Source organism: Homo sapiens, chromosome 2, assembly GCF_000001405.40.
Source record: "Homo sapiens chromosome 2, GRCh38.p14 Primary Assembly".
Classification (NCBI taxonomy): domain Eukaryota; kingdom Metazoa; phylum Chordata; class Mammalia; order Primates; family Hominidae; genus Homo; species Homo sapiens.
The window spans coordinates 185,765,730-185,782,844 of record NC_000002.12 but is presented as its reverse complement, the minus strand read 5'-3'; the positions used below and the strand labels follow the sequence as shown (position 1 = coordinate 185,782,844).

The following is a 17,115-nucleotide window of genomic DNA, read 5'->3' as shown; positions in this document are numbered from 1 at the left end:
ATGGAATCATTTGCTTATGAGCAGCACTCTTATGTAATCATTAAAATTAGTTATGATTATATATAATTCCTTAGGTACTTACATATTTGTGTAAACAGGAGAAGAAAATATACCCGGGTCTGTAGCATGAGCCTGAGGTCCTATTTATCAGAAAAATAAAATTACATAGTTTGTATCCATCCTCAGCAACTTGCTAAATGGTAATCCTCCAGTAGGTATTTATTTTCTGTTATCACTGCCTCGTTTACAGGCTTTCAGGGACTCTCCACAGTGAAGTCCAAAGTCCTTAGCAAGGACCTGTACTGTAAGATCTGATGTCCTTATCTACCTCTCCAGTGTCTTCTCTGACTAGTCTTTCATACTTATGCTATGGTCCAGAGACAGAATATTTTGCACTTCCCTAAATATATCATGTTTCTCATGCTTCTCTGGACTGTGGTTTTGCAATTTCTTTTGTCTAGAACACCCTGTGCTGTATTTTAACTTCTCATATTTTAGGTCTCGTTCAGCTTATGTTAACTCTTGAAAGCCTTCCTTGATACGTACCTGAATAAATACCCTTCCCAGTGCTCTCAAAGCACTCTAAACATGTCTATATTATAAAACTCATCATGCTACACAGTAATTATGTTTACTCTTGTGTACACCTGATTATGACTTCCCACATATATCCTCAGTACTTAACATGTTTTGGTGTGGATCAATTTTAGAGAGAAAGGAACTGACATTGCCTGTAATCCCAGCACTTTGGGGGGCCCAGGAGGGCGGATCATGAGGTCAGGAGATCGAGACCATCCTGGCTAACACGGTGAAACCCCGTCTCTATTAAAAATACAAAAAGATTAGCCGGGCGCGGCCTGCGCCTGTAGTCCCAGCTGCTGGGGGATGCTGAGGCAGGAGAATGGCGTGAACCTGGGAGGCGGAGCTTGCAGTGAGCCGAGATCGCGCCACTGCACTCCAGCCTGGGTGACAGAGCAAGACTCCGTCTCAAAAAAAAAAAAGAGTGCCCATACCTGAAAATTAAATGTGAAGACAACACTATTTTTAATACAAAAAATCTCTTCTGTGGTTTCCAGCAATATGCTAAACAAATATTTTTAATTTTGCCTAGCATTCAGTATAGAGCATTAAAGCCATACTGTTAAAAATAGCTAAACTTTCAAAGAGATAGGAGAACTTTCTGAAGGTAAGACAAATGTGAGAACACAAATCTATAGTGGTAAACAAATGCTGAAGCTGATACCTGCCCTAGGGACATTGGCCACATCTGGAATTTAGTGTCTGGTCAGAGCATTTAAAACAAGACATTGGGCCCCCCCAAAAGATGGAGAATTAAAACTAAGAGCTCCTAAAAATATACAGATGCTTCTTGACTTACAGTGGGGTTCATATCACAATAAACCCATCATAAGCTGAAAATATGTTAAGTTGGAAATGCATTTAATACACCTAACCTGCTGAACATAATAGCTTAGCTTAGCATGCTTTAAATTTGTTCTGAACATTTACATTAGCTTACAGCTGGGCAAAATCAGCTAACACAAAGCCTACTTTATAATAAAGTGTTGAATTTATTATATAATTTATTGACTGCTTATACTGAAAGTGAAAAACGGAATGGTTGTATAGGTACTTAAAATACAGTGTCTATTGAATGTTTATTGCTTTTACACAATCCTAAAGTTGAAAAATCATAAGTCCAACCACTGTAAGTAAGTCAGGGGCCATCTGTTTAGGATCCCAATGAGCTACATCTTCAATTAGTCATCTACAAAAAAAAAAAAATCATGCCACAGAGGAAGCAGAGAAATTATGTCTTGGCTTTTGGCTGTGGGTGGAGAAGGAGGAGGAGAAGATAAAATTATATGCTAAGAATTCGTAATCACAGATTATGTTTTCTATGACCTTGAGTTTCAAATCCACAGAAACTGTATTGTCCCTAAAACTACATATGAGAATTTAATTTAAAATGAATCTGTGTTCACAGCTCTTACAGATAACTGGCAGCAGCGTATGTAAATTTTCTTTAGAGAATTACAACCTATCCAAATATTATTGAATCCCCAACAATAAATTTCTGTCAAAACTGAGCTCACATATAACAGTAACAACCTCCCACTCTCCACAGAAATATAAAAAAAGAAAAACAAGAAACCATGGCTTTTAACAGAAACAAAAACAATATATTAAAATTAGACCTCAAAGATTTCAAATATTTGAATTAGCAAACATAAAATAGCAAATAAGAGGACTTTATATGTTTAAATATATAAAGAAGGGTTTTGAAAGGATAAGAATAGAAAAAGAGCCTATAAGAAGTCCAAATTTAAAAATATCTATTTAGAAATTGTATTTTATATATATAATATACCATAGTTCAATTTTACAAAGCAATTAATTTATGAAATAATAAACTATATAGAAAAACTAAATAACTAAAGAGAGAATTAGCGAACTAGAGAACATATTTGAAGAAATTAACAACAGGAATGCAGTGAGAGAAATGGAAAATAAAGTTGTTAAAGGACATGAGACAAGAAGGTAGTCTAATACTCAGAAGAAGATAATAACGAAAATGAAGAGAGGCAATATAGAAAGAGGAAATGGCTGAAGCTTGTACAGAACTGCTCCTTATAATAATACTAAAGAAAAAATAAAGAAAACATCTTAAAAACAGCCCGAGGTGGGGGACGGAAGAATCACTTACACAGGAATAATTACATCATAGAATAAAAAGTAAAATAATTAAACAAAACAATTTTTTTTTTTTTTGAGATGGAGTGTTGCTCTGTCACCCAGGCTGGAGTGCAGTGGCACGCTCTCGGCTCACTGCAACCTCTGCCTCCCAGGTTCAAGTGATTCTTATGCCTCAGCCTAAAAATCCATTATCTTTAAAGTGCTAAGAAAAAAAAAAAAACTGTCCCCTGAAACTTACTCATACCCTTGGACATAATGACATTCTAATACAAGGATAAAGACAATTTTATCAAATAAAATCTGAGAATTTACTCCCAAAATACGTTCACTAAAGACCTTTCTAAAGAATGCAGTACTTTAGAACAAATGGCAATAATCCCAAGAAGTATTAAATGCAAGAAGGAATGAGTGGAGAACAAAATAAGCTGGTAAACAGGTGGGCAAATATAAATAAAATCTGTATAAAACAATAATAAGAAAGCAATTTGACTGATAAAACCTTTAAAATGTCAAAATTTAAACTATTGGACAATAATAAGTATGATATAAAGTTATGATTAGAAGTAAATTATCCAATTTTAACTTTTATTTTAAATATACTTCAACATAACTAGAAGAGTAAATTTACAGCGTTCAACACAAAGAAATAACAAATGTTTGAGTGATTGATAGATCTCCCAATTAACCAGACTTATCACTATACATTGTATGCTTATATCAAAATACATATGTACCCCAGAAATATGTCTGATTTTATGTATCCATAAAAATTTAAACAAAAATGTTAGGGTAAATGCTAAAAGAAATATACATATGTTATGCAATTTGTAAAACAGTAAAAAAAAAACTAGATAAAAACTAAATTTAGCACTCTAAGAGAATGCAATAAAGAATAAATAAAAATATATTAAAAAGTAGGACAAAGAAACCACAAATAAGGCAGTAGAAAACTTCCGAAGATTTGTAATTTACATAAATACAAATTGATTGGGTTCAGTTAAAATTCAGAAATGCTAAGACAATAAAAATAAAGCAAAATCCAGCTGTAGATTGTCTACAAGAGGCATCTAAACAAATAACACTAAGATTAGAAGCTGACATCTCTATATTAATATTAGACACATTTAAGGCAAAAAACATAACTTATGGTAAAGGTCACTGCATGATGATAGGAATATTCAATTCACCTGGAAGATATGATGATTCTAAAATTTGGATAGGTCTAATCACTAGATCAAAAATATTTTTTAAAATGGGCAGAGCTACATTAAGGAGTTTGCAAGCCCACTATCATTATTTTCAATAATTTTTAGAACAAGGAGTAAAAAATAAGTATATATGTGTATTTGAATATATAATAAGCTATATATTTGAAATACACAATTCACCGTCTTGATTGAATGGACATATTTAGAACATTACATCCCAAATTGAGCAATATTCATTGTTTTCAACCACACAGAAACTATTAAATAGTAATCATGTTTGCTAAGCCATAAAGCATGCTCTAGATTCCTCTTTATGGTTGGTATCATAAAGATCATACTCTCAGTCTACAATGCAATTAAATTATAAATGACCACCAACAAAAATAAAGTAAAAATTAGAATAACTAAGCCAGGAGCACAAAATTTAACAACTAACTCATGGGTACAAACTAATAAACAAAATTGGATATTAAACATGATTTAGAAAAAAATGAAATATTATATTGCAAGTTTTTTGATACATTTTATATTTTCATACATATCACCAATTAAGTTTCACATACTGTTCTAAAAAGTTTCAAATATTAGCTCATTGAATTCCCATAACAATCATCATATGTATTACTACTATTATACTTATTTTATAGTTGGAAAATCTAAAGAACAGAGACATTAAATAACTTGGCCAAACTAACATGCATTTTAAGTACTGGAGTATGGATTAAACCTAGTTACCTGAGTACATCTGCTTAGCAACTATGCCATACTGCTTTTCAACAATCTCATCTAAATAAATAGGATATATTATAACTTTATGCAAATATATCTGAAAATTTAGATGAATTAAATACATTTATAAAAAAAGCAGTTACTTGCTAAAAGCACTCAAAAAGAAGAAAAATAGTTTTGAATCACTAAAGTCATTGAATTCATAATTTAGTTTTTTCTCACTAAAAGAACAAAAACTAGGTTATTTATTTTAACAGTGACTTCTACCGAACATTCAAAGAATATATAATTTCAACTTTGTAAACGTTTATAAAATAGTAAAAGCAGGCAACATAATTAACTCATGGGGCTAGTATAATCTTGACACGAAAACTGTATCAGGATACTATGAGAAAGGAAAATTACAACCCAACCTCTCTCAAGAACCTAGATGCTAAAATCCTAAACAAACTACTGGTAAATTTAATCTACACATGTATAAGAAGAAAAACACACGATAGATAGAATTGATTTAATCAAGGATGTGTGGCCATTTTAACAAAAAAATATGATAGCCTTAACAGATACATAAATTATATTTTAAAAAGTCAAAATTCACCACTAATAAGGAAGTTTTGCATATTAGAAATAGAAAGATACTTTCTTAACCTGACATTATTATCTACCAAAAGATCACAGTACATATCATACTTAATGAGAAATTATTTAAACTTTTTTTTAATTAAGAAAGAAGACAAGGAGCCCACTTTTACCACTTTATTAATCATTGCACTTCAGGTCTTAGGAAAGGGAAGAGTGCAAAAAAAAAAAAAAAAAACTACAATTATAAGAATTGCAAAGGAAGTAACTAAATTTTATTATTCGCAGAAGATATAATTTGATTTTTTTATAAAAACACAGTTACTTCTGTGTTATGGGGACAGGATTAATATATTAGTAAATATTAAGCCCTCTGCTGAGAAAAAAAGAAGGTCTCTCTACCCCTAACCTCCCTCAGCTGTACTTTACAGCACTCTGTTATTTTCAGGGAGGAGGTTATGGTCATCCTCAGAAGCAAAACTGACGGAAAATGTATAGCCATGCCTATTCATTATGTATTATCTCTGGCTGATTTCCTTATGATAGAGTGAGTAGCTGCAACAGAGACCATATGCCTGGCCAACATGTGGATTAGAATCTTGCATCCTGGCCAGGCACGGTGGCTCACGCCTGTAATCACAGCACTTTGGGAGGCTGAGGTGGGCAGATCACCTGAGGTGAGGAGTCCGAGACCAGCCTGACCAACATGGCGAAACCTGGTCTCTACTAAAAATACAAAAATTAGCTGGGTATGGTGTAATCCCAACTACTCGGGAGGCTGAGGCAGGAGAGTCACTTGAACCCGGGAGGCGGAAGTTGCAGTGAGCCGAGATCACACCATTGCAACTCCAGCCTGGGCAACAGAGCGAGACTCTGTCTCAAAATAATAATAATAAAAATCTTGCATCCCTCAGACAGAAAATAGACTTATTTTGTATATCCATAAAACACTTAAAAATGTCATATATCATATCACATATTTTGCTATAAAGAAAATTTAATGTCAATGAAAACAGATTTAAAGCCTATGCTTTTTGATGCTAATTCAAATAAATTAAAAATGAATAATAGGAATGTTATCAAAATTAATGTCAATAGAGATTTAATTTTCTGATATCAATTCAAGTAAATTAAAAATAAATAATGTTATCAAAATTAGAAATAGAAGAAATATACACCCAGGTAACCATTACACTGAAAGGGATTCTAAGAGGGAAAGTTAAAAAATACGTATAAAGCAATGAAAAGCAGGACAACTGACATCAAAATGTACAGTGTTGAGTTGTACATCCATAGTAAAATATAGAGCATGAAAGCTATTATTATTATAATTTTTAATTTTTCTCATTTTATTTAATTTTTGAGATGGAGTCTCACTTTGTCACCTGGGCTGGAGTGCCCTGGCATGATCTTGGCTCACTGCAACCTTTGCCTCCCAGGTCAAGTCATTATCCCACCTCAGCTTTCCAAGTAGCTGGGACCACAGTTGTGTGCCAACATGCCTGGCTAAGTTTTTGTACTTTAGGTAGAGACAGTGTATCACCATTTTGCCCAGTCTGGTTTCAAACTGCTGAGCTCAAGCGATGCACCCGTCTCGGCCTCCCAAAGTGCTGGGTTTACAGGCATGAACCACTGCACCCAGCACAATGTAATTTTTAAATAAAAACCTGGCCAGGTGCGATGGCTCACGCCTGTAATCCCAACACTTTAGAAGGCAAAGTGGGTGGATCACCTGAGGTCAGGAATTCAACACCAGCCTGGCCAACATGGAGAAACTCCATCTCTACTAAAAATACAAAAATTAGCTGAGTATGGTGGTGCACACCTGTAATCTCAGCTACTCGGGAGGCTGAGGCAGGAGAACTGCTTGAACCCAGGAGGCAGGGGTTGCAGTGAGCCGAGATTGCACCACTGTACTTCAGCCTGGGTGAGAGAATGAGGCTCCATGAAAGCAAAACAAAAACAAACAAACAAAACAAAAAACCCACAATTTTGGAAGATAGAGTTAACAGATGGTCTGGGAGTGTTCTATCCTTAATTCTGTGGAAGCTTAGATAAAAAAATCCTGCTTGACAAAAGAAACTACCATCAGAGTGAACAGGCAACCTACAAAATGGGAGAAAATTTTCGCAACCTACTCATCTGACAAAGGGCTAATATCCAGAATCTACAATGAACTCAAACAAATTTACAAGAAAAAAACAACCCCATCAAAAAGTGGGCGAAGGATATGAACAGACACTTCTCAAAAGAAGACATTTATGCAGCCAAAAAACACATGAAAAAATGCTCACCATCACTGGCAATCAGAGAAAAGCAAATCAAAACCACAATGAGATACCATCTCACCCCAGTTAGAATGGCAATCATTAAAAAGTCAGGAAACAACAGGTGCTGGAGAGGATGTGGAGAAATAGGAACGCTTTTACACTGTTGGTGGGACTGTAAACTAGTTCAACCATTGTGGAAGTCAGTGTGGCGATTCCTCAGGGATCTAGAACTAGAAATACCATTTGACCCAGCCATCCCATTACTGGGTATATACCCAAAGGACTATAAATCATGCTGCTATAAAGACACATGCACACGTATGTTTATTGCGGCATTATTCACAATAGCAAAGACTTGGAACCAACCCAAATGTCCAACAATGATAGACTGGATTAAGAAAATGTGACACATATACACCATGGAATACTATGCAGCCATAAAAAATGATGAGTTCATGTCCTTTGTAGGGACATGGATGAAATTGGAAATCATCATTCTCAGTAAACTATCGCAGGAACAAAAAACCAAACACTGCATATTCTCACTCATAGGTGGGAATTGAACAATGAGATCACATGGACACAGGAAGGGGAACATCACACTCTGGGGACTGTTGTGGGGTGGGGGGAGGGGGGAGGGATAGCATTGGGAGATATACCTAATGCTAGATGACGAGTTAGTGGGTGCAGCACACCAGCATGGCACATGTATACGTATGTAACTAACCTGCACAATGTGCACATGTACCCTAAAACTTAAAGTATAGTAAAAAAAAAAAATCCTGCTTGATGGTTTGCAGTCATAAGAGAATAACTGACACTTGACAAGCCTTCTTACCATAATCAATCAGAAAATTAGAAGACTATATGAATAATCTTTTTACTTATGGAAAACAGGAATCACAATAATGTACTCTCTGCACAAAGGGATAAAGATAAAGTGAAGTTTTAAATTACCACATATTATTAACTAAAGACACTTTCCAGGCAATAACATACTATGGTGGTTTAACTAATTTGAGGAGTTAGAAATTATACAAAGATTTTAAAAAGCTAAGGCAGCTACAAACTATAGAGAATAATACCAGGAAAATATGGCATTATATACAGGAAGAAGTCCATGCTTCTAAAATGGCATCCTGTTGAGTTTTTAGCTCTATATTAAGTTGTACAATCTAGTGTGATACCCAGGCAAATGACAACTTCTTGTAGAAAAAAAGATTACTGTGCAGGTGTGAAAAGAATAAGTCTCAATTTCACACAAGACTGGAAAATATTTTCTAACTGACTAGTAAGAGAGGAGGGACTTGGTTGAATGTCTAGCACATCTTACAGAGACCCCAGAAAATTTATCTCCATTTAGGAGAACTGAAGGATCCATAAAGTAAAATTGACATTATATGTCCCATAACAGCATTTACATATAAGCCTTAAAAAATCATGATCATACATAAACTTGTTAAAACAAAATTCTCCAATCTTTAAAAGCAGACAAAACTCAACAATAGCATAGCAGTAAAACTGTCCGATATGCAATAAAATATGTAATACATGGAAAGAAACAAGAAGAGATATAGCTAGGAAAAATATTAGTCAACAGAAATAGATTTAGAAATAGCACAGATGACACAATTAACAGGAAAGACCTTGGAAACATTTAATGAGGGGGAGAGAGGTTAAGATATAAAAACAGCCAATAGAACTTGTAAAATAACTCATTATCTGAGATTAAAAACTTACTGGTGTGATTTGACACTACAGACAAATAAAATAATCTCAAAGACACAGCATTAGAAACTATACAAACTGAAGCACGTGTATTTTGAAAAGATTTGTAAGTAGTTAAGAAAGGCTCAGTAACCTGCAGGAAAATATCAGGTGATCTAATGTATGTTTGAATTGGGGTCCCAGACTACAGTCAAAGTGAAAGAATAAATTATAAAATTAGCTAGAGAAAAGCATCTAGTCACTTACAAAGAAAACCTCATTAGAATAACAGCAGATTTCTCAGCAGAAACCTTACACGCCAGAAGAGAATGACATAAAATATTCAAAGTTTTGAAAGAAAAATAGTGCTGACCAAGAATTCTATGTTTAACAAGATTAAGCTTCACAAATTCAGGAGAAATAAATTTTTCCCAAACAAGCAAATACCGAGGGAGTTCATCACCACTAAACTGGTCCTATAAGAAATGCTCTGGGCCTGGCGTGTTGGATCATGCTTGTAATCCCAGCACTTTGGGAGGCTGAGGCAGATAGATTGCTTTGAGCCCAGGAGTTTGAGAACAGCCTGGGCAATATGACAAAACCCCATCTGTACTAAAAAAATACAAAACTAGCTGGTATGGTGGCATGTGTCTGTAGTCTCAGCTATTTGGGAAGCTGAGGTGGGAAGATGGCTTGAGCCTAGGATGTGGAGATTACAGTGAGCTGAGATCATGCCACTGCACTCCAGCCTGGGTGACAGAGCTAGATCTGAAAAAAGAAAAAGAAAAAAACAAAAACAAAAGAAAAGAAAGGAGAAGAAAAAGAGAAGAGGAGAGGAGGGGAGGGGAGGAAAAGAAAAGCTAAAAAAAATTCTAAACTCAGGTGATATTCACCATTATGAAAACACACAAAAGTACAAAATCAGTGACATGGTTTGGATGTTTTATCCCCTTCAAATATCAGTTTGAAATGTAATCTCCCAGTGTTGGAGGTGAGGCCTGATGGGAAGTGTTTGGATCATAGGTGCAGATCCCTCATGGATGACTTGGTGCCCTCCTTACAGCAGTAATGAGTGAGTTCTTGTGCTGAGTTCACATGAGAACTGGCTGTTTAAAAGAGTTTGACACCCACCCACTGCTGCTTTCTTACCATGTGATATGCCTGCTCCCCTACTTCACCTTCTGCCATGAGTGGAAGCTTTCTGAAGCTCTCACCAGAAGCAACGCTGGTGCCATGCAGAACCGTGAGAAAAATAACCTATTTTCTTTATAAACTACCCAGCCTCAGGTATTCCTTTATAGCAATACAAATGAAACACAGAAAATTGGTACCAAGAAGTAAGGCATTGCTATAAAGATACATGAAAACATGGAGGCAGCTTTGGAAATGGGTAATGGAGAGAGATAAGAAAAGTTTGAGGGCTCTGGCTCTGAAGAACACAGGAAAATGAGGAAAAGTTTGGAACTTCTTAGGGACTGGTTAAATGGTGGTGACTGAAATGCTGATAGAAATATAGACAGCAAAGTCCAGGCTGATAAGATTTCAGATGGAAATGAGAAAGTTATTAGGAACTGAGCCAAAGGTCACACTTGTTATTCCTTAGCAAAGAGCTTGACTGCATTGTGTCCATGTCCTGGGCATTTGTGGAAGGTTGAACTTAAAGAGTGATGTCTTACAGTATTTGGCAGAACAAATTTCTAAGCAGCAAAGCATTCGAGAAATGATGTGGCTGCTTCTAACAACCTATAATCAGATATTGGGGCAAAGAAATGACTTAAAGTTGGAACTTATATTTAAAAGGGAAGCAAAGTGTAAAAATTTGTAAGGTTCACAAGCTGTCTTTGTGATAGAAAAGGAAAGGGTGTTTTCAAGACAGAAATACAAGCAGGTTGTGGAGCAATCACTTACTAGAGAGATTAGCATGACTAAAAGGGGGCCAAGTGTTAACAACCAAGACAATGGAAAAAAAGCCCTCAAAGGCATTTCAGAAGTCTTTGGGAAAGCCCCTCCCATCACAGGCCCAGAGGCCTAGGAGGAAAGAATGGTTTTAGGGGCCAGACCCAGGAAACTGATCCTCTGCTCAGCCTCAGGACACTGCTGCTCACATCCTGGCCACTCCAGCTCCAGCCTCAGCTCAAAGGGCCCAGGTACAATTTGGGATGCCACTGTGGACATTGCAAGGCATAAGCCTTGTCAGGTTCTATGTGCTGTTTAGTCTGCAGGTTTACAAAATGCAAAAGTGAAGGAGGCCTGGCAGCTCCATATAGATTTCAGAGTATGTATGAGAAAGGCAGGATGTCCAGGCAGAAGCCTGCTGCAGGGCTGAAGCCCCTGCAGAGAGACTCTAGTAGGGCAGTGCCAAGGGGAAATGTGGGATTGAAGAACTCACACTGAGTCCTCACTGGGCACTACCTAGTGGAACTGTGGGAACAGGACCAATGCACTCCAGATCCCAGCATGGTACAGCCACCAGCAGCTTGCCACCTCAGCATGGGAAAGCAGCAGGCATTAGACTCAAATCAGTGACAGAAGCCATGGGGGTTCCACCCTGAAAAGCCACAGTGGTGGGGCTGCCTAATGCCTTGGGAGACCACCCCTTTTTTTTAGTGTTCCCAGGATGAGAGACATGGAATCAAGGGAGATTATTTTGGAGCTTTGAGATTTAATGTTGGCACTGCTAGGTTTTAGATTTGCATGGGGCATGTTGCCCCTTTATTTTGACTGTTTTCTCCCTCTTAGAATGGAAATTCTACCCAATGCCTGTACCACCATAGTATCTTGGATGTAATAACATGTTTTTGATTTCAGAAGCTCATAAGTGAAGGCAATATACATTAAGTCTCAAATTAAATTTTGGACCTTGGACTTTTTATTGAATTAATGCTGGAATAAGTTAAGATTTGGGGGGACTATTGGGAAGGGATGATTGTATTTTGCAATATAAAAAATACATGAGATTTGGTGGCCAGTGGCAGAATGATATGGTTTGGATGTTTTGTCTCCTCAATATTTCATGTTGAAGTATAATTCCCAATGTTGGGGGTGGGGCCTGGTGGGAGGTGCTTTGGTCATGGGAATGGATCCCCCATAAATGACTTTGTGCCCACTTCATGGTAAACAGTGAGTTCTCACTCTGAGTTCTGATTGTTTAAGAGCGTGGCACCCACCCACTGCTGCTTTCTCACCATGTGATATGCCTGCTTCCCCTTCACCTTCTGCCATGAGTGGAAGCTTCCTGAGGCCCTGAGCAGAAGCAATTCTGGTGCCGTGCGTGTATAGCCTACTGGGAGCCAAATCAGGATTGCAATGTGATTCACAACAACCAGAAAATGAATGAAATACTTAAGAAATACCACTAACCAGGGAGGTTCAAGATCTCTGCACTGAGAATTACAAAACACTGCTCAAAGAAACCAGAGATGACACAAACAAGTAGAAAAAGGTACTATGCTCATAGATAGGAAGAATTAATATTGTTAAAATGACCATGCTGCCCAAAGCAATTTACAGATTCAATGCCATTCCTATCAAACTACCAATGGCATTCTTCACACAACAAGAAAACATTATTTTAAAATTTGTATGGAACCAAAAGAAAGAGCCTGAATAGCCAAGGCAATCCTAAACAAAAAGAACAAAGCAGGAGGCATCAAGCTACCTGAATTCAAAGTATACTACAGGTCTACAGTAACCAAACAGCATGGTATTGGTACAAAAATAGATATATAGGCCTGCAACCATCTGATCTTTGACAAAGCTGACAAAAACAAGCAATGGGGAAAGGATTCCCTATTCAATAAATGGTTCTGGAATAACTGGCTAGCCATATGCGGAAGATCAAAACTGGGCCCCTCCTATACAGAAATCAACACAAGATGGATTAAAGACTGAAATGTAAAACTCTATTTATAAAAACCTTGGAAGACAACATAGGCAATACCATTCAGGACATAGGAACTGACGAAGGTTTCATGAAGAAGATGCCAAAAGCAATTGCAACAAAGGCAAAAATTGACAAATGGGATCTACTGAAACTAAAGAGCTTCTGCACAGCAAAAGAAACTAGTAATACAGTAAACAGACAACCTAGAAAATGGGAAAAAATATTTGCAAACTATGCATCTGGCAAGAGTCTAATATTCAGCATCTGTAAGTAACTTAAATTTATAAGAAAAAAAATTCCATTAAAAAGAGGGCAAAGGATATGAACAGACACTTTTCAAAATAAGATAAACATGCAGTCAGCAGCATATTTAAAAAAGCCCAATATCACTGATCATTAGATAAATGCAAATCAAAATCACAATGAGATACCATCTTGCACCAGTCAGGATGGTTAGTATTAAAAAGAAAATAATAGATGCTGGCAAGGTTGCAGAGAAAAGGGAACATTTATACATTGTTGGTGGGAGTGTAAATTAATTCAACCACTGTGGAAAGTCGTGTGATGATTCCTCAAAGAGCTAAAAACAGAACTACCATTTGACCCTGAGATCCCATTACTGGCTATATACCCAAAGGAACCATACACCATTCTATCATAAAGACACACGCATGTGTATGTTCATTGCAGCACATTACTCACAATAGCAAAGACATGGAATCAACCTAAATGTTCACCAATGGTAGACTAGATTTTTAAAAATATGGCACATATATACCATAGAATACTATGCAGCCATGGAAAAGAATTAGATCATGTCCTTTGCAGGAACATGGATGGAGCTGGAGGCCATTGTCCTTAGCAAACTAACACAGGAACAGAAAACCAAATCCGCATGTTCTCACTTATAAGTGGGAGCTAAATGATGAGAAAACATGGACTCGAAGAGGGGAATGACACCGAGGCCACACTGTGGTAGAGGGTTGGAGCAGGGAGAGGATCAGAAAAAATAATGATTGAGTACTAGTATTAGGCTTAGTACCAGAGTGATGAAATAATCTGTACAACAAACCCTCATGACATAAGTTTATCTGTAAAACAAACCCGCACATGTATGACTCAGCCTAAAATAAAGATTTTCTTAATAAAGAAAATAACTATTTGCCCATTAAAAATAAAATAAAACAACATAAATATGGAAAATAACTATATGCCAATTAAAAATAACATAAAAAAGAAACAATAGGGAAAGATAATTTTTTCAATAAATGTTGTTGGGAAAACGGTATGTCCACAGGCAGAAGAATTAAATTGGACCCTTACCTCACATCATATACAAAAAATAACAAAAAATGAATTAAAGATATAAACATAAGGCCTTAAGGCATAAAAGTGTAAGAGAGAACATACAAAGCTTCTTGATGTTGATCTGGGCAATAAATGTTTGGGTATGGCACTAAATGCACAGGCAATAAAAGCAAAAATAGAAAAATGAGATTGCATCAAGTTAAAAAGTTTTTGCATTGCTGTAAAACAATAAAGTGAGAAAGCAACCTACAGAATTGTATAAAATACTTGTAAACCATATATCTGATAAGGTGTTATTATCCCAAGCATATAAAAATCTGAAACAACTCAATAGTAAAAAAAAATTATTAAAAATAAAAATACAATCAAAACCATAATGATATACCACTTCACATCTCTTAGAATGCCTATTATCAAAAAAGTAAAAGACAACAAGTATTGGCAAGATTGTGAAGAAAAAGAAATCCTTGCACATAGTTGGTAGAAATGTAAATTTGTACAGACATTGTAGAAAACAGTATGAAGGTTCCTCAACAATTACCTTATGATCGATCTAGCAATTCAACTTCTGGGTACATATCCAAAGGAAATGAAATCATATGTTTTCGTTATGTTTTCAGTATGTTGAAGAGATATCTGCACTCTCATGTTTACTGCAGCATTATTCACAATAGCTAATATATAGAAACAAATGTACATCAACAGATGAGGGCATAAAGAAAATCTGATATATACCAAGAGATAGATCTATCTGTCTAAGTAGATGTATAAATAAACACAGATACACAGACAGACAGACAGACAGACAGATATAATACAATACTATTTAGCCTTTCAAACAAAGGAAATCCTGCCATTTGTGACAACATCAAAGAACTTGGAGAACATCATGCTAAGTGTAATAAGCTAAATGCAGAAAGACTAAAAACGGCATGATTTATATGTGTTATATAAAAATGTCAAGCTCATAGGAACAGAGAATAGAATGGTGGTTACCAGGAGTTATGGGGAGGAGGATATATAAGATGAATAAGTGTGGAAGATCTAATGTACAACAGTGTGACTGTAGTTAACAATATTGTGTCATTAAAAACTGCTAAGAGTAGCTCTTTTTTTTATTTTTTATTTTTTTATTTTTATTTTTTATTATACTTTAAGTTTTAGGGTACATGTGCACATTGTGCAGGTTAGTTACATATGTATACATGTGCCATGCTGGTGCGCTGCACCCACTAACTCGTCATCTAGCATTAGGTATATCTCCCGATGCTATCCCTCCCCCCTGCCCCCACCCCACAACAGTCCCCAGAGTGTGATATTCCCCTTCCTGTGTCCATGTGATCTCATTGTTCAATTCCCACCTATGAGTGAGAATATGCGGTGTTTGGTTTTTTGTTCTTGCGATAGTTTACTGAGAATGATGATTTCCAATTTCATCCATGTCCCTACAAAGGACATGAACTCATCATTTTTTATGGCTGCATAGTATTCCATGGTGTATATGTGCCACATTTTCTTAATCCAGTCTATCATTGTTGGACATTTGGGTTGGTTCCAAGTCTTTGCTATTGTGAATAATGCCACAATAAACATACGTGTGCGTGTGTCTTTATAGCAGCATGATTTATAGTCCTTTGGGTATATACCCAGTAATGGGATGGCTGGGTCAAATGGTATTTCCAGTTCTAGATCCCTGAGGAATCGTCACACTGACTTCCACAATGGTTGAACTAGTTTACAGTCCCACCAACAGTGTAAAAGTGTTCCTATTTCTCCACATCCTTTCCAGCACCTGTTGTTTCCTGACTTTTTAATGCTTGCCATTCTAACTGGTGTGAGATGGTATCTCATTGTGGTTTTGATTTGCATTTCTCTGATGGCCAGTGATGGTGAGCATTTTTTCATGTGTTTTTTGGCTGCATAAATGTCTTCTTTTGAGAAGTGTCTGTTCATGTCCTTCACCCACTTTTTGATGGGGTTGTTTGTTTTTTTCTTGTAAATTTGTTTGAGTTCATTGTAGATTCTGGTTATTAGCCCTTTGTCAGATGAGTAGGTTGCGAAAATTTTCTCCCATTTTGTAGGTTGCCTGTTCACTCTGATGGTAGTTTCTTTTGCTGTGCAGAAGCTCTTTAGTTTAATTAGATCCCATTTGTCAATTTTGGCTTTTGTTGCCATTGCTTTTGGTGTTTTAGACATGAAGTCCTTGCCCATGCCTATGTCCCGAATGGTAATGCCTAGGTTTTCTTCTAGGGTTTTTATGGTTTTAGGTCTAACGTTTAAGTCTTTAATCCATCTTGAATTGATTTTTGTATAAGGTGTAAGGAAGGGATCCAGGTTATTCAATTAGGAAAAGAGGAAGTCAAATTGTCCCTGTTTGCAGACGACATGACTGTATATCTAGAAAACCCCATTGTCTCAGCCCAAAATCTCCTTAAGCTGATAAGCAACTTCAGCAAAGTCTCAGGATACAAAATCAATGTACAAAAATCACAAGCATTCTTATACACCAACAACAGACAAACAGAGAGCCAAATCATGAGTGAACTCCCATTCACAATTGCTTCAAAGAGAATAAAATACCTAGGAATCCAACTTACAAGGGATGTGAAGGACCTCTTCAAGGAGAACTACAAACCGCTGCTCAAGGAAATAAAAGAGGATACAAACAAATAGAAGAACATTCCATGCTCATGGGTAGGAAGAATCAATATCGTGAAAATGGCCATACTGCCCA

At 36.3% G+C, this 17,115-nt stretch overlaps 1 protein-coding gene across 6 annotated transcripts in view; it reads right to left on the bottom strand.

Moving 5' to 3' along the window:
- FSIP2 (fibrous sheath interacting protein 2) overlaps positions 1 to 17,115 on the bottom strand; it is a 96,157-nt gene that overhangs the window by 50,446 nt on the left and 28,596 nt on the right. For all 6 annotated transcript variants that reach the window (XM_047444333.1, XM_047444329.1, XM_047444331.1 and 3 more), the window contains exon 14: positions 83 to 140. In XM_047444333.1, coding sequence (XP_047300289.1) covers positions 83 to 140 — 58 coding nt within the window. The remainder of the gene's footprint in view (positions 1 to 82; positions 141 to 17,115) is intronic.